This window comes from Homo sapiens, chromosome 1, assembly GCF_000001405.40.
Source record: "Homo sapiens chromosome 1, GRCh38.p14 Primary Assembly".
Classification (NCBI taxonomy): domain Eukaryota; kingdom Metazoa; phylum Chordata; class Mammalia; order Primates; family Hominidae; genus Homo; species Homo sapiens.
Window position 1 is genome coordinate 160,091,053 of NC_000001.11, and position 16,617 is coordinate 160,107,669.

General features: G+C 54.5%; 1 protein-coding gene across 10 annotated transcripts, besides 5 other annotated features; it reads right to left on the bottom strand.

Moving 5' to 3' along the window:
* On the bottom strand, positions 287–8,416 carry IGSF8 (immunoglobulin superfamily member 8). Of its 10 annotated transcripts, XM_017002839.2 has the most exons (9): positions 7,357–7,567; positions 4,541–6,739; positions 4,369–4,452; positions 3,817–4,194; positions 2,658–3,119; positions 1,872–2,279; positions 1,230–1,643; positions 756–886; positions 287–556 (listed from the first exon to the last, which is right to left on the bottom strand). In XM_017002839.2, exons 4-8 carry the CDS (start codon positions 4,190–4,192, stop codon positions 771–773), a joined length of 1,776 nt encoding a protein of 591 aa, XP_016858328.1. In that variant the 5' UTR covers positions 4,193–4,194; positions 4,369–4,452; positions 4,541–6,739; positions 7,357–7,567; the 3' UTR covers positions 287–556; positions 756–770. The 10 variants fall into 10 exon arrangements, with proteins under 10 accessions (XP_016858328.1, XP_016858325.1, XP_016858324.1 ...); XM_017002836.2 differs by lacking the exons at positions 4,369–4,452; positions 4,541–6,739 and adding an exon at positions 8,164–8,416 and having other exon boundaries at positions 7,357–7,465; XM_017002835.2 differs by lacking the exons at positions 4,369–4,452; positions 4,541–6,739 and adding an exon at positions 7,782–7,819 and having other exon boundaries at positions 7,357–7,465.
* Positions 5,173–5,699: an enhancer, noted in NCBI's record as "H3K27ac-H3K4me1 hESC enhancer chr1:160066015-160066541 (GRCh37/hg19 assembly coordinates)". NCBI's record gives its function as "activates a minimal SCP1, AML or CMV promoter by ChIP-STARR-seq in naive H9 embryonic stem cells {active_cell/tissue: H9 hESC(naive)}" and the evidence as "EXISTENCE:reporter gene assay evidence [ECO:0000049][PMID:30033119]".
* Positions 5,700–6,228: an enhancer, noted in NCBI's record as "H3K27ac-H3K4me1 hESC enhancer chr1:160066542-160067070 (GRCh37/hg19 assembly coordinates)". NCBI's record gives its function as "activates a minimal SCP1, AML or CMV promoter by ChIP-STARR-seq in primed H9 embryonic stem cells {active_cell/tissue: H9 hESC(primed)}" and the evidence as "EXISTENCE:reporter gene assay evidence [ECO:0000049][PMID:30033119]".
* Positions 6,229–6,755: an enhancer, noted in NCBI's record as "H3K27ac-H3K4me1 hESC enhancer chr1:160067071-160067597 (GRCh37/hg19 assembly coordinates)". NCBI's record gives its function as "activates a minimal SCP1, AML or CMV promoter by ChIP-STARR-seq in primed H9 embryonic stem cells {active_cell/tissue: H9 hESC(primed)}" and the evidence as "EXISTENCE:reporter gene assay evidence [ECO:0000049][PMID:30033119]".
* Positions 7,322–8,151: a silencer, noted in NCBI's record as "silent region_1458". NCBI's record gives its function as "represses an Ori minimal core promoter by ATAC-STARR-seq in GM12878 lymphoblastoid cells {active_cell/tissue: GM12878}" and the evidence as "EXISTENCE:reporter gene assay evidence [ECO:0000049][PMID:35858748]".
* Positions 9,844–10,344: an enhancer, noted in NCBI's record as "H3K4me1 hESC enhancer chr1:160070686-160071186 (GRCh37/hg19 assembly coordinates)". NCBI's record gives its function as "activates a minimal SCP1, AML or CMV promoter by ChIP-STARR-seq in naive H9 embryonic stem cells {active_cell/tissue: H9 hESC(naive)}" and the evidence as "EXISTENCE:reporter gene assay evidence [ECO:0000049][PMID:30033119]".

Consider the following 16,617-nt stretch of genomic DNA (forward strand, 5'->3'; position numbering starts at 1 on the left):
TGGTGCGGGGGTGACCACAGGCAGCTGGAACCTACCCTCCTTTTCTATGCTTCCCTCCCCAAGTAGGAGTCCAATCAGGAGTTGTCTCAGCCCCGACAGTTCAGGCTGCAGATGGAACCCAGGTGTCCCCTCCTGGGGTGGGTGGCATGGCCCATGGAGGCCAGATGGTGTTTGTGGTGGGAAGAGAGGCCTGGGTCATCCAGAATAGGTTGTCAATCCCCAACCACCTCCCTACTATGCACCCTGAGCGTTTTACAGTCTCATGGTAGGGAAGACACAGCCAAGCCTGCTTTTTATAAAACAAGTTTATTCACATTTTAGAAAAACTAATTCCAGGACAGGAAATGGCCTCCCTATAGGATCCCTAAGAGATCAAGAACAGAAGGCCAGAGGGAGGGGCTTGGGAGGGAAGGAGTGGGGAAGGGGAGGCACGTCTCCCATTCTGGGTAGTGGGAGGTCAAATAAATTAAAGGAAGAGTGGACAGAGGGAGAGGGTGTCCAGGCAACCAGAGGAGGGCTTGGAGCTGGGCCGGAAGACAGTCGACACCTGCAAGACCTGAAAAGGGTGCCCGGTGTGGGCTAAGGACAGAGAGCCCTGAGTGGGGCTCCCTCGCGGCCTCCACCCCTTAACAGGGCCCTGTGGATCTGAGCTGCCTACTCCTCCTCCAGGTGGGGCCTGGGAGGGAGCAGCTTGGTTCAGGACTTGGGGGTGGGAAGCCCAATGAAAACAAGGTTGGGGGGTTCTTTTCCCTCACCTGGGGAGTAAGGGATCACCGTTTTCGAAGCCTCTTCATGAAGCAGCAAGTGATGGTACCAAGGACAGTGGCACCAGTGACTAGGGCCACCCCTGTACCCACCAGCAGAGGCACAAATAGGGTGTCCAGGGCTGGGGGAGAGAGGATGACTGTTCAGAGAGGATGCCATCATCCTCCACCCATACACTTGCCTCTGCGCTTTCCCCATCAAGTTCTCTGAACCCACCTTCTCCATTCACAGACACCCCCATCCCTGCCCACAGCCTGCCCCCTCAGCATGCAAGTCAGCATCAACCACAGAGGACCCCGTGCAGGTGGGCACTGCAGGGCTGGAAGTTGGATTTTTTGAGACTTCATGTGACATAATGTGGAGGAGAGAGATAGTAGCAGGAGGGTCAGAAGATGGGAAGGGAAGGCCAGTGGCAGAGGCCAGGAGGAAGGCAGAGTGAGGAGGGTGGAGGGGGTGTCACTCACCATGCATGTAGGGGTAGACTGTAACAGGCCCTGAGCGGGCACTGCCCGCCTGGTACCAGCTGTAGTCGGCATGCTGCACCCAGGCGCTGGGGGCACAGTGGTACACGCCTTCATCCTCGGGCCCCAAGCTGTGTAGTCTCAGCCGATGGCTTCGGGGCCCCACCAGCTCTACGCTGACAGGGCCTCCTCCAGGCCGGACTCCCAGCTCTGCCACACCATCCTGGCCTACGCCACCCACCAGCTGGGCAGGGACAGAGCTGAGCTCTCCGTCCTCTGGTCGCTCCACCCACCAGCTGGCGGCCAGCCGCAGTCCTGGGGGGCCACCCCGCACAGAGATGTTGCACAGCAGGGAGGCAGTCTCCCCGCGGTACACTGTGCCTCCTGCTAGCCATGCCACAGCCTCCAGCACCACACCTGCAGAACAAAGGACATGGGGTCAGAGGGTGCAGGGCCAGGGAGCATGGGGTTAGGGCTGCCGCCAAGCACCGCCCCAGGAAACTCAGGGTATTCCCACAATCTTGGTAGAAGAGGAGCGTGAGGCTGTGGCCTGCAAACAGCTGACGGAGAGGGAGGGGTCATGGAAACAGAAGGAAAAGGGGTTGACAATCCTCGAACCCCGTCCAGGGCCCAGCCCCCTCTCACCTTCCTCCCGCACATGTACAGGGAGAGGCCGGGAACGGGCACTGGCTGCTTCACGAAGCCGGGTCCCAGACCCTCGAACATAGGCTTTGGCGAGGCAGCGGTAGGTGCCCGCATCACCAGGCCTGGCAGCCTCTAGCCGTAGCCGGTATGTTCTGGATGCCACCTTCTCCATGGCAATGTGTCGGCCCTCATAGCCAGGGCCCAGGCTGCCCACACCCTCTGTGTCCAGCTGGGCTACCAGGCGGCCGGGCCCAGGTGCCCCCGCAGGTGCCATCTCCCAACCTACAGAGTATGCAGCATGACGGCCTGCTGGGGGAAGTGCCCCTGACACATTGCACAGCAGTTCCAAGGGCTCCCCTGGGCCGATCCGACGTTCACCAGGCCCCACTGTCACTGCCAGCTGGCTGGCTGAAACACAGGTAGGGGAAGAGGTGTCATGGAGGCAGGAGGGGACACAGAGGCACCCGATTCCCCAACTTCCTGTTTCCTACTTGACAGCAGCAACTTCAAAACCTCCTGTCTCCCCCTCACTAGGTATGACCATCTTTCTATTTAGGGGCTTGAATCTCACCCCTCAGCATGGGCCTCCTATCTCTATACCCAATTTCTGAGCAGAGAAAACCCATCAAGGGCCGGGGGAGAGAAATGCTAGCAAGGCTGCTCACTCTGTGGAAGATGAGTTCCTTGGAGTCAGATGATGGCTATCTGGTACCCCCTGTGGCCACAGTGCCCACCAGGATACTGTCCCTCCCAGCTCCCACAGTGGGATGTATAAGTGGCACTTACACAGCGTCTGCACATCCACGTGGGCCAGGACGGCCCTTTTCTCTGCAATCTGGGCCCAGCTGCCATCAGGATCCTGAATCCACTCAGCGGCAGTGCAGTGGTAGGTGCCTGCGTCCCCTGCCTGGGCACCCCCTACTACCATGCGGTACCGATCGGTCCCTTCCTTGCCCAGACGAAGCTCCCCTGCAGCCAATCGCTCAGCATAGGGAGCTCCAGCCTCCACGGCCAAGTCTGACCGGATTCCCACCACTTCCTGCAGAGTTGACCGCCCAACTGGTGCCTCGGGCACAGATCGCCCAAAGGACACTGCCAGGTGTGTGTGCTTCTGTGTGCTTGTCCTCGCCAGGCAGCCCAGTGCCAGCTCCTGCCCCTCATGCACCGTCATGCGTGGGGGTGAGGTTGGGGCCTGGCGGCCTCGGGGCCCTGGGGGGGCAGCAGACACCTGGAGGACATCTGGAAGAACTGGAGAGAACAGCTGGAGTGAGGGAGGGCTGGGAGCTGGCAGCCCTTGTTACTGTTTCCTGTGTATAGCCTATCTCCCTAAATAAACTGTGAGCTCCCAGAGGGCAAAGATCGCATGTTGTATTATTTCTTCTGTAACTCAGTGGTGCCAAGGGCAGTACTGGGCACAGCACAGGCGCTCAATAAATACTTGTAGAATTTCATAGAACCAGCCCATCGCCTACTCACCCTTATGTTTGAGACTGACCTCTGTTTGAAATACTGAGAAAAGCGGCTCTTTCTTCTCAGAAGACAAAGAAACTTAAGAGAGTGAGAATGTCACATGGTCTAACTCCTTCCCTAACTCTACTCTCTTTCCCAGATCTGGGTCCTGTACTGTCCAGGAGTAGAGGCTATTCAACCCAACAGTCTTCTTCGTTCTTGGGAATGGAAAGTGGACTGGACAACTTAAGGACATTTCTTCTCCCAGGAGGGGTCTTAATATGATAAGATGAGCACTGGCCTGGGTGAGGAACTCTGGGTTTGAGTCCCACATCAGCCACTGAGTTATTGGGTGACTTTGTGCAAATCACTTAACCTCTTTGGGCCTCAAGTTCCTTGGCTACAAAACCTAAGGGGCAACTAGATAGGTCACTTGTGGCCTTGACTTTCTGCCTTGAGAGGGTGTGTGGCTCCACCCCGTCCCAGGGCCCAGTACCTCTCAGCTCCACCTTGCCGCTGTAGCTGCCCAGGTAGCGGGTATCAGTGGAGGGGGTGTGGCACTCATAAATGCCGGCATCCTGGGCCTGCAGGCGGGCAATCTTGAGCACCACGGCATCACCTTGTAGGCGCTGCACCTGCACCTCACCCGCCACCACTCGGGACTTGAAGACAGCATAGGAGAACTGGGTATCCTTGGTACTGACAATGCCCAGTGCAGTATCTGGGGCCTCGGGCCTATACAGGAACCACTCGAAGTTCTGCTGGGCAGGGCCCTCATAGCCGGTCACATTGCAGGAGATGGAGACAGCTGTGCCAGCCACGCGGTACAAGGGCCCCTCGGGGACCAGCACCTCCCGGGCCCAGCATCCCATTCCTGTAGGGAAAGGCAGAAGGAGTTGGAGATGCCTGGTTCCTCATTCCATGCCCTCTGCCGCCACAAGCACCATTCTTGATCTCTGCCTACAAAAGGAAAGGAGACCTGGGAAAGCTTGTCCACAGCTTGGACCCTGTTCTGAGAATAGGAAAGGGATGCTGTGATATAAGACACCTGGATCTCAAGGAGGTGGCATGGGCCCAGGATTGCCTTGGCATCCAGATGCATCCCATTTCTGGCGGACTAGAAGCAGAGCACCTGAAGGCAGAAAGGAGTACATCTGATTCCTGACCTAACCAGGCCTTGGTTCCAACTGAACCTTGATCTGTCCCTGCCACTCACCCACCTCCATGTCTGCCATTCCTTCCTCAGCACCTGGCAAGGGGAGCCTTCTGGCTAGGGGACTCTGAGACTACATGTCCCTCTCCTTTGCTTGAGGGGAGCTGGCAGTCTTGCTCAGAAGTGCTAGTTGGCTCAGCTGTGTCACCTGGGCGAGACAATGGAGCCAGTGACCCTAGCTGGAAAGGGCACAGGCCCAGTCAGTTCTCACCACACAATGCCCTCCCCTCTCCAGCTGCGCCATGAGCTCACTGCTTCTCTCACCCCACAGGGCTGCCCAGGCAGCTGGGGCTTCTGGGGCAAGATCCAGGCTCTGCCCTGGCCATTGGGGGCAGAAGATCCCCTCCTCCAGTGCCTGCCAACCTTCCGGGCTAGCCCAGCAGATACAGAAGGTGCCTGCCCCAGTTCCTTAACAAAAGCCTTCATTTGCACATGGTATGCATTCATTTACATATATGGCTCTCTTTCTGTAGGGAGGCACTAAATCCCCAGCTGCCCCTTCTCATCTCTCTCCCTTCAGAAAGGCCAAACCTCTCTTCTTCACCCTACTCCACCCCTATGCCCAACCCTACCCCAGCAGATACTCCTGGCAGACTTAGAGGGCTTAGCTCCTCCCTTCTTTCCTTCCATAGCTCCCACTAGATAAGATCACAGAACCTCAATGTAAAGAGGGCTAGGCCACCCCTCCCCACCTCTCCCAATTTTACAGATGAGAAAGGTAAGGCAGGAAAAGTATAATATGTTAGCCAAGATCATGCTGTCCCTAGATGGCTTCCACACACTCCTCCAGAGGGGCAAAACCAGAGAGGAAGATGGGGAAACTCCAAGGCCAGGCCTGAAGGGACTGACCTCACCAACCAGAGTGTCACTTTTAGGCCTCCCAGGGGGATACCATGGACTTTCTGCAGGAGCTAGAGGAAAATGCCCAGGAGTCTGTGGTCAAACTCTACCCTCCAGCTTCTCTAGAACGGCTCCTCTGAACTTCCCCACCCCTGCTTCTGGGCTCCTAGCCCCTTCCTTCATCCTCTGGCTGGGTCACAGGGAGAACTCATGGTCTGTTGTTAAGGGCACAGCTGCCAGTCAGGAAGTGGGATTCCAGCACCATCCCCATGCCCAGCTGTGTGGCCTGGGATCCAGTCTCTTTCTGTCCTAGGCCTCAGTTTCCACACTGGAGGAGAACTAAGAGCTCCAGCTCTGACCATGTGTGAGTGCGTATGTGACTCAGGAGAGCCCTGCCCCAGGCCAGGCAAGTTTCATAATCAGAGTGACGGTGGAGACAGCCAAGCTGACACCTTCCCTGACTGCCTCAGGGCAGACTGCTCAGAAGGCCCCCTCCCATTTTCCTGGCTCCACAACTGCTGATGCTTGGAGATGCCCATGGGAAAGTCACCTCCACAGCCTTAGGAAATCAGTTGCCACACAGCTCTCTCTCCCCTCCTCTGTATCAGTCGCAGCAAGGAAAGGGACAGCAAAGAGGCCTGCTTTGGAATCAGATCTGTGTTCAAATCCTAGCCCCAACACTCACTAAATGTGCTCTCTGGGGCAAGTTACTTCATTTTCCTCATTTGTGAAATGAATGTAAGTGCCCACAGGCAGTGGGTGCTCAGACCTCTGCGTGCTCCTTTTTCAAACACAGGCCAGCACTTCCCCACCTCCCTGGGCTCCTCCCTGCTCCATGCTGCCCACTGGGGAAAACACACCAAGTGCTAGGCAACCCAGGCCCCACAGCGCCTTCCTCTCTGTACATCCTCCTGCCACCTGCCCAGGGACCAGGGAGAGGACTCATCCTAACCCTGCAGGGCCCAGGGACCTGCAGCAGGGGAAGGCTTTGCTTGGTGCCACTGTGGAGCTCTGGTCTAGAAACAGGCAGCTGGGGCTACCTTCAGCCTCTGCCTTGACGACAGCAGCTCTGAAGTCACCATCCCCACCCCCACGCTTCACTCTCATTTCAAGGGCTTCAGCCTCATCAACATCTGTACTGGCAGTTTCACTGTCTCCATGCCATACTCTTCCCCAGACCACCTCCTACAGGGAGCCCTCCAGTTCAGGCCAAAAACAATTCCACTGTCATTATCCCCATGCATCCATGCAAGATTGGCCCAGAACACCCCACCATGAACACCCACCACAGCAGGCACAAGGTGCTTGGAGATCCCAGGATCAGTCTCCATGGAACCTGGTTTCTCCTGAGGCAAGGAAGCTGGAACTAAGCGGTGTGAAAACTGATGGGTGGCTGCAGAGCCAAGTGCCATTTGGGAGACAGGAAGAAGGGCAAAGAGGGACCCAACCCAGGGTGGAGATGGGGGTGAGAGAGGGAACTGCCCCCAGTTGATGAAGTGCGTGGAGCGCAACTGGGAGAGACTTACTTCAAAGATCGTGGGCAGAACTGGCCTCTGGGCCTCCAGCCAACTCTGGGGCAATTATGAAGCTGGGCAGGCACTGCCCTCGTAGGGCGGGCACCCAAGGCCAGGCCTGGAGCTGAGTGTGGGGCAGAAAGGAGTCGCAGCATTTGGTGCAGCGACCCCAGTACGTGGGTATGCTAGCTGAGATGTGTGGCCTGCCCCGGGAGGCCGAGCAGTGCCTGGGGCAGCACCTTAGTGGGTCCTCTCTACGCCCCAGTCCCTGGCTTAGAGCTGGGGAGCCTGCACTCTTCCCAAGACTGGCTCGGCGGACAGCCACAAAGCGCAGCTGGACGCCGACCCCGGGGAGGCTGGAGGTACCCCTGACGGAGGAGGATGTGAGGAGCCCCGAAATGCTAGGGGGGTGCTGGATGGCAGGCACCTGCCCGGCAGGGCCGGGAACCGGAACGGGGGCCTGGCTTACCTAGCATTAGCAGCAGCAGCAGCGGCAGCGAAGGCGGCAGCAGCGTGGGCCTGAGGGCGCCCATCCTGCGCGGCCAGCTCTGGGGAGGCTCCGGGGGATGGCGCGGGTTCTGGGGGGCCGGAAGGGTGGGGGGCGCATGCCCAGGTTGAGGGCAGGAAGCGGGGCAGCGAGGCGTGGGTGCGCCGAGCGAGCTGAACTGGAGCTGCCGAATCCCCTCCCTCCGCCCCTCCCGCTGCTTTCCCTCCAGCCCTCGGCAGTTCTGAAACCATTCTCGCCCCGGCCCGCCCCGGCACCGCCCCTTCCACCGCCCCGTCTAGGCCCGCCCCGCCCCGGACCCAGCCTTGGCCCTGCCTGCCCCACCCCCGCCAGACTCCGGCCTTTGCTCCGCACCTGGCCCCGGCCCCGCCCCGCCCCTCGAAACTCACCTTTGAGTCGCATCGAGTCCCAGCCCCGCCCCGGCCCCGCCCCTCCCCGCCCCGCCCCGCCAAGACTCCAGCCCTGGATCCGCCCCGGGCCTCGGCCCAGCCCCAGTTCCGGCCCCTCCCCCGCCCCGCCCCACCAGGACTACAGTCGGACTCCAATCCTGGCTCCTCCCCGGGCCCCGGCCCCGCCCCAGTCCCAAGCCGCACCCCTTCCCCGTCCCCGCAGGGCTAACGTCAGCCTCCAATCCTGGCTCCGCCCTGGACCCCGGCCTCGCCCCGCCCCTGGCCCTGGCTCCGCCCGAGGCCCCCGCAGGAGTGAGCTAACTGCACCTCTGCGCATCGAAATTCCCACCCACCCTCGCACAGAGCGCATTCCACCCCGCACCTGCCAGCCTTTCCTGGAGAGTTGGGTGCAGGGTCCCTGGGATTGGCGAGGTGACTGTGACCACGCATTTAGAATTCAGTTATTTGCTCTGAGCCATAGTCCTCGCTGCAAACCCTGCTGAAGTAGGGGTTGGCGGAAGCCAGGAGTTCCTGAATGCGAAGGGTTTGAGCTGAAGGGCGCTTCCAGGATCCAGAAGGTCACTGGAGACCTGTTTTTCACCCCCTCAGAGGGCAAAACCAAAAGAAAAATGGATTAGGAGAGGGGGCCGTCCATGTGACGTCATTTCTGGGTTGGGTGATCCTAGCCCAGTTGTTTAACCTCCTTCAACTTCAGTTTTCTCCTCTGCAAATTGAATTGAGGTTGATCACATCACCCAAAGGGTTATTGTGATGATAGGTAATGTACATAAAGTGTTTGGCACAGGAAACTAACACAAAATGGGAGATAAGGATTATTTTGTTTTAGGTTTTGAATTATTATTTGAACTGCTTCCTAAGAGGCTTAGTTTAGACCTGGCATTTAGGTGAAGGAGTCTCTATGTTCAGTGACAGTGGGAAGAGATGAACATTGCTCTGTTCTAGGAAGAGTGGGGCTTGCCCTGGAGGTGGGAGAATGGAGGAGGCACCCTTCCCAGGTGCTCTGTCTCTTCCTGAACTGTAAAGATGGGAAGTGGGCAGGGGCAGGAAGGATGAGACCAGAATGGGGAGAAGAGATGGCCAGGTTTGCAAAGCCAAGGCTGTCAGAGTGGCTGTCAGTGGGAGGTGACCCCAGAGCCCATTTACCACCCTCTACCCTCCAACATCCTCCCTCTCCCCTCTCATCCCCCTTCCCTCCCACTCACTCACCCCCCTTTACAGAAGAGGAAACTGAGGCCCAGAGAGGGTAAGTGGCACAGGCCAGACCAGACCTTCCTTGACATGGTATTCCTCAAGCGTGGCACAGTGCCTGACTCTGAGAAGATGCTCACGGGGTTGCCAGTAGAAGCCACATTGAGGAACCCTGGAGAAACCAGAGAAACTGAGGCCTTGAAGGGAGATCAGAGGTCCAGCCCTCACTTCCCAGGACTGCCAGCACTGGCCCATGAACAGGGCAATAAGGTGCCTGTTTATTCCCACTTTGAAATATCCAGAAGGTTGCTCCAGAACCTCATCATCTAAATCCATCCACAGGCATATCGAGCTATGTGAAAACTGAAACTCATAGGGGAAGCTTTTGGAAGAATACGTCTCTCCCTTTATAATGGATTTAATTATCGAGTGGATTTAATGCCTTCATGATGCTTGAGGGATGAAAGATGTTACCAATTGTAATAATGATAGATGTCATTTATGAAATGCTTACACAAGAAGGCCCTTTTGGATATTAGTCCTAGTCCTTATAGCATATTTTGCAAGGTGGTGTCATTTAACAGAAGAGAAACTTGAGGTTAGGCAGGTTAAGTACCTTGCCCAAGGCCACACAGTTTTTAAGTGGCTTAGGGGTGACTTCAGCCCAGGCTTGTCTGTCTGTCCCCAAAGCCCCAAATCTTCCTACACCTCACTGTCCCTCCTCCCAAGCCTCTCCACCCTGTAAACTCAGTCATTCAACAAATATTGATTGGGCCAGGCCTTGTACTGGGCACTGGAGATGCCATGGTAAACAAGGTGGGCCTGCTCCCCTGCCCTCAGGGAACATAGTTCTATATGTTAGGGATACATTTCATAAACAAGTCATAACCAACCCCCAGTATGAGTATGATGAGAGGGGTCTTCAGGGAGGTGAGGTATCCTCTCTTACCCTGTGGCCTGGGGCTGGGAAGGAGCTGGGGGCAGGTTGGCGTTGAGAACTGGGTTGGTGTCTCCCTCCAGAGGGGATAAGGCCCAAGGAGAGAACAGTGTCTTCAGCAGGCCCCTCTGGAACCCAGGCCCCTCTGGAACCCAGACTGCGGGTTCCAGAGGCGGCCAGCAGAGGGAGCCCACAGCCCAGGCCTGACGGACCCCTCAGCTGCTTATGTAACTGGGAAAGCTGGGGGAGGAGAACAAACCCCAGGCACGAGGCACGTCACACACACAGACACATGTCCCCACTGTAATGGAGCGGGGATCAGACAGAAAGACGGCTCCCAGAAACACACCCCCACAGAGCCATGGGCAAACACACACAAGCTGCAAAACAGCGATGCATGGTGTAGATTGGAGGGCACTCATCTCATCCATTAAAAACACACACCTAGGCTGGTGCCCGAGGGTGGGGTGAGCAGAGAAAGGAGGAAGGAAGCCCTTCAGTGAGTTTCCAGGCCAGACTGAGACACGAAGGAGGAGGGAGCCTGGGTTTGCAGAGAGACCTGGCAGGTATGCAGTAGTGACCATGAGGGACCCTGATGCCCGGCTGGGCTGTGTTGTCACTGCCATCACCAGCTTCCCACCTGCCCTCCATGTACTACCCCAGGCATGGGCCTGCATCCGACACCCGTCCTGTTTCACATGAAACAGGTCTCATTTCACCTCAAGATGACATATACACAAGACACCAAGGTGACACTGAGGTGTCATGAGTATTGTTAAAGATAATTGAGACCCACGCTCTGCCCAAAAGCAGTTTATAATCCAGCTGAGATGTGACACACCACAGTCACAACCAAGCAGACAGCTCTCAGAGAGGAGCACGTTCAAAGACAGGACCATTCACATATGCTGACCTGTGTCAGGCACTAAATGTGATCTCATTTATCCTCATGTGCTATTATTATCCCTGTGAGAAAACTGAGGCATAGAAAAGTTAAGAAACTTGTCCAAGGTTAATGCATTAGTTACTGTCCACACAGGGATTCGAAATGGATCGCCTCACTGTGGAGCCTGTGCTTCTAACTCCTGTTATGTTGCTGCTTAAAGACAAACGTCACTAGGGACACAGTTAAATATGGGCTTAGCACACATGAGTATACACCAAGCTGTAGACACAGATACTGCCGTGGGGACAAAGTGACAAATACATCAAATACATAAGCACACATGCTCGTCAGACTGTCAGACATATAGAAATGGCACAAGCATACACATAGGACTCAGCTCTCTCTCTTTTAAATGTGTATCAACCGTAGCTTTGTGGGGAGCTAAGGATCACACACAAGAATGTCCTGTGATTTGTGTGTGTTTATAAAGCATTGGCCCATACTGCCCTGATGAGCTATATTTTCCCACCCTCCCAGAAGGGAAGATTCTCTCTGCTGAGTTGCTGAGAGGCTCAAGCAGAGTCAGAGACAGAAGTAGTGCAGAAACCTACCCTCGCCCTGATAACAAACTCATTCAGAGACACACTGAAACAGAAGTGCACACACAAAGATAAACACAGAGACATTATGCACACCCAAACACCAAACACACTCACAGAACCACAAAGCCATCTCCCCCCCGACACACACACACACATTCGCTTTCCACCCTCTCCCTCCCCTCTTTTCTCCCTGAGCCAGGCATCTGCACCTTCATGGTGAACTGTGTGTGTGTGTGTGTGTGTGTGTGTGTGTGTGTGTGTGTGTGTCTACTCTCTGAACCCTCCTCTTTCCCTGGCTAGGCCCACACTCCTGCCCCCATTCTTGAACCCTATGCCAAGGGGAGCAGCACAGCTGTTCAGGAATAGCAGAGCCGCGATGCCACTGGGGCTTTGGCACGACCTGGCCCTGACTCCTGAGGGGGCCCTGCCAGTTCTGAACCAAGGATTCGTGCCAGCTGCCACCCACGCTCAAATGCCACACATGGATTCCTCAGAGCTGGAATCCCCTCGGTCTCCCTTCTGACCTCCTGACAAGTTCTTTGTTCCCCAGTCCCATCGGGTGGGTGCTGGGAGCCTGGGCTCCGCCCCAGATGCTCACCCATCCCACTTCTCCATTCCCAGTCTGCTAAGAGGGAACTGACAGCTCAGATATATGTCTGGAGGGTAGCGTGGGACTGAAGCAACCCCCACTGTGTGATATTACTTCTTCTCTACCCTGAGCAGCCTAGGGTGGGGTGGGGGTCAGCCAAGGGCAGGAGATGGCAGTGGTTTGGTTAGACAGAGGTTTGTGGGCTGAGTGTTGTAGATGAGCCTCAGGGGGCAGGAGGTGGGTAGCACCAGGTGACTGCCAGTCATTTACGAGTTTGTCTCCACCCAGCTCTGAGTGGGGTGAGAAGGGAACAATTACTAATACCTACAGAGCACCTACTTCATGCTGGGCACCGTTGCACACACTCTGTGCACATTCATTCATTCAGCTTTCACAACAACCCCATGAGGTGAATACTACGAGTATCTCTATTTTACAGCTGGGAGACAGAAGCACAGAAAGCTCATATAATTTACCCGAGGTCACACAGCTAGCAAATGGTAGCACCCAGATGCAAATGCAAGCTACCTGATGCCCAAACTTCAGTTTCCCAAACATTCTTCTTCCCTTCTTCCTCCTGTTTCCCTAGCCTGCCCACATTGATTCATACATACATGTGCATATATTCAGGCACACACATGCATATCTGGTGCCTATGCAACCTTCTGAAATAACTTTTTCCACTACACAGCTCCAGCTTCCAGCACATAGTGAGTGTTCAATAAATATGTGTTGAATGGATGAATGCAGAATTGAAGGCCCAGGGAACAATGAGCGTTGTGTGTGTGGTGGTATGGGGAAAGAGGGAGGGGAAAGGAGGGATTTCACACACACACACACACACACACACAGACACACACATACACAGCCCTCTGCTGTGAATAATGTCAAAGACTCACTTCTAACTCTGGGGTCCCAGCCCTTCACAGCTACCTGGGTGGGAAAAGAGCAATGTAACCAGGCTTTACAGGATTCTCTGAAGTGGAAGAAGTCTCAACTCTCTCTTCCAATCAGAACAGAGGACAGGAGATGCAGAGAGAGCTCTGGAAGAGGACTCGAGGCACACAGCCACCTGGGCCTTCCAGCCAGGCACAGCTCATCCTGTGTTTTCACCTCTCCCTGCCCCATGCCTGCCGCGCTGCAGGCTCTCCCCTGGCTCCCTCGGGACAGTCCCTGCTTCCTCTGCTTGTCCACCTGGACTCTCCAGGAACCCGGCACCCCTTGGTTATTTTGGCTGAAGAGTAGACAATTCTCCTTTTCCCTGTTCCAACTGAAACAAGGGTGGAATTTTTCCAAAGGCTCTCTATTAGGAAAGTGAAGGGAAAACAAAGCCAGAAATAAAGACTCTGAAAAAACAAAGAAACAGATGGAACAGTGGGGGTGACCGAGCTGGCCATGGGAGAGAGCGGGGGCCCAGAGTTTTGATGCTAACGCGACCCACCCCCTTGCTCCCACTGCACCCTGTTCTCAGCTCCTTGGTAGAGTTTCCCACTCTGCATTGTAATTACAGTGCTTGTTTATATCTGCCTCTCCATCCTGGCTGTGAGCTTCTCAAAGCCACTGTTAACTCTTTTTTGCCTTTCCCCAAAGCCTACAGAGTTTCCTGGCAAGGAGTAGAAGCTCAACAGACATTTGCTGTGTGACTGAGGAAGTGAGGACATGCCGAGTGACAAGAGAAGGAATCTGGGCCCTTCCTCTCTTGTGGTCATGTCACCTCCACAGTGGACACTGTTAGTTCCTCTGGAGTCCATCATACACTAGTCACTTCCATCTACAGCTGATAGAAAGTTCCTCCTCTTATTTCAGAACCTGAACCTTCCACCCCTCAGGAAACAACCAGGCTGGCTTCCTAAGCAGCCTAGGAAGGGCTGAGTTCTGTCCTGTAGGGCGGGAAGGACGCTGGAGATCAGATCAAGCTGAAAAAGAAATCACAGTCTGAAGGCCAGGACATTGGAAATCAAGGGCATAAAATAATTGCTAACCTTCACTGGGCACTGTAATTCTCAAAATGACTCTATAAGTTAGAGCTGTTAAAAAAAATTGAAGTTCAGAAAAGCTAAAAAATTTGCCCAAGCCAGGCACAGTGGCTCACACCTGTAATCCCAGCACTTTGGGAGGCCAAGGCCGGAGGATTGCTTGAGCCTAGGTGTTCCAGACCAGCCTGGGCAACATAGCAAGACCCTGTCACTACTAAAAATTTTTCAAAAAAACAAACAACGAGCCAGACATGGTGGGCACCAACTATAGTCCCAGCTACTCAAGAGGCTGAGGCAGGAGGTTTGCTTGAGCCTAGGAAGGTGAGGCTGCAGTAAGCCACAGTTGCACCACTACACTCCAGCCTGGACAACACAGCAAGACCCTGTCTCAAAAAAAAATGTGTCCAATTAGTGGTAGACCTAGGATTTCTTCTCCGGGCATTCTGACTCCACAGCACAAGCCTTCAGCCATGTTGCGGGCCGCATCTATACCATACAAATTATTGTCCTCAGAAGGAGCTGGGAGACAACAAAGATGTAGAGGTCCAACCAGCCAGCAGGGCAGGGTGACAGGGAATCCAGCTGGTACTGAGGCCCTGAGCACTGGCATGAAGGATCCCAGCTCCTGAACTGGATAGCCCTGGGGAAAGGGGACTGGCCAGAACGAACCTGGAAATCAGGGGATGAGCCAGGTTACCAATCAGGAGCTCAGGCGTAAGAAATAAAGCTTCTGTGTTTTCAATTAAGTAAAAAGCTTGGGGGCTGGGATTTCAGAAGCAGACAGCACAGACCTGAATTTGCCAGCTGTGTAGCCTGAATCCCGTTACTCACTTTCTCTAGCCTCAGTGTCATCATCTGTAAAGTGAGAATTACTAGAGTACCGATCTCATTATTTTTTAAGGATTGTTGTGAAGATGAAATGAAAACATGTGTGTCATGGTGCCCCATTATGATCAAAGCTAGGGCCCACAGGCGCAGTGGGACCAGTGGCAAAGGAGAGGAGACTTCTAAATGGGTCTCTACTGTTCACTGCTTCCTCCATCTGCTGTCTCAGTTTACCCAGTCTTCTTTCCCCTTCCATCTCCCACAATCCCCTTGGGAGAGGATAACCTACGCCCTGCCTCAGCTTCCTCACCACACTCCTCAACGCTTCACAGGTTTATTTCCAAACTCAACCTGACATGGAAATGGTTTTCCCAAAGGACACACCAGTGACCTCTGAGTTGACAAAAAAAAAAGTGACCAGCTTTCCTTTCCCCCTGGCATCTGAAATCTGAAACTGTTAGTTTTTTGCCCCTTAAAACTTGTTCCTCTCTCAGCTTCCTGGCCCCTCTACTCGGCCTAATTCTCCATCTCTCTGGCTTCCCTACCTTGCCATCTTCCAGATCCTCTTCCTCTACCATAGGTGTTACTACCCAGGATCCTCAGACCTCTGTCCTCTAGCTCCCCTGCCTGGGCCATCTCCTCTGCTCTCCTGGCTCAGTGTTCCCCTCCATGCAGGGGATTCCCATGGCCCATGCCCTCTCCCAAGCTCCAGTCCCCATTTCTATCACCCCCCACGTGCCTTCATCTGAAGCCCTGCCTGGAGCACCTCAACCTTCATATGCCCCCATGCAAACTTGCGGCTTATTTCCCAATCTCCTTTCTCCCCTACCCTTATTTTAGTTAACTTTGCACCAACGTCCTCACCACCCCCACCATCTCCAACGGCTTCCTTCCTTACTCTGATGTCCAATCAGCTGCCAAATACTGAAATTCTACCTCCCAAACATCTTTTTCATCCATCCCTGTCTCCTCTCTGTCTTGCTCCAGACCTTCACCACCTATAGCCCCCATCAGTCTCTCCCTTCCAGCCCAACATCCCGTCCACGTACAGGCACACACCCTGCCATCAAATGAGCCTTCCTAGAACGCAATTTCAATGAGATTACTCCCCTGCTGAAAAACTTTAAGTGGCTCCATATTGTTTATAGCGATATTTCTCAAACTTGCTTGGTGGTAGGAATACAGGTTCCCACTCTCCACGCCCACCCTCATGAATCAGAATCTTGAAGAAATGTACCTGTTCTTTTATAGTTTTAACAAGCACCCAGGTGATTCTTATCATCAGAGCCTTTTTAGGAAACACTAGCAATTAGAGTGGCAATTACTCTGGCATTCAAGGCCCTCCATGAAATGGCTCCAACATCTATTTCCAGTAGTACCGCCCATATTCCTTCCTTGTGCAGAGTGCTTCTGCTGTCTGTGCCTGTGCTCACATTGTTCCTTCTCCTTTATCTCTCTGAGTCAGATCCTACCTATCTGTCCAGGCCCAACTAGAATGCCACCTCTTCCATGAAGACCTTTTTGATTCTTCCAACTGAGAACCATCTCCCCCTTCTCTGGGCTCCCACCACCCTCTAAATGCTATGGTGAGCAACCAGCAGCCAGCAATACCTGGCTCAACACAGATGCACAAGAGTTGGCACTTTTTCTTCCCCTTTATCTTCTGGAGCACTCCTCACTGTCACCACTGCATCCAGACAGTTCTGGTCATTTACTCCTGGGGACAAGAACCCAAAGGAGAAGCTTCAGTGGGTCCTTACAGCATGGAAGTTAAATGTGCAGGCTCTGGAAACAAACTAACCAGGTTTGAAC

Coding starts and splice junctions, on each gene's coding strand:
- IGSF8 (XM_017002836.2), bottom strand. CDS start 7,420: ATGGGCGCCCTCAGGCCCACGCTGCTGCCGCCTTCGCTGCCGCTGCTG. Junction 2,280..2,657: donor CGTGGATGTGCAGACGCTGT/GTAAGTGCCACT, acceptor CCTGTGTTTCAG/CCAGCCAGCTGGCAGTGACA. Junction 887..1,229: donor AGTCTACCCCTACATGCATG/GTGAGTGACACC, acceptor TCTCTCCCCCAG/CCCTGGACACCCTATTTGTG.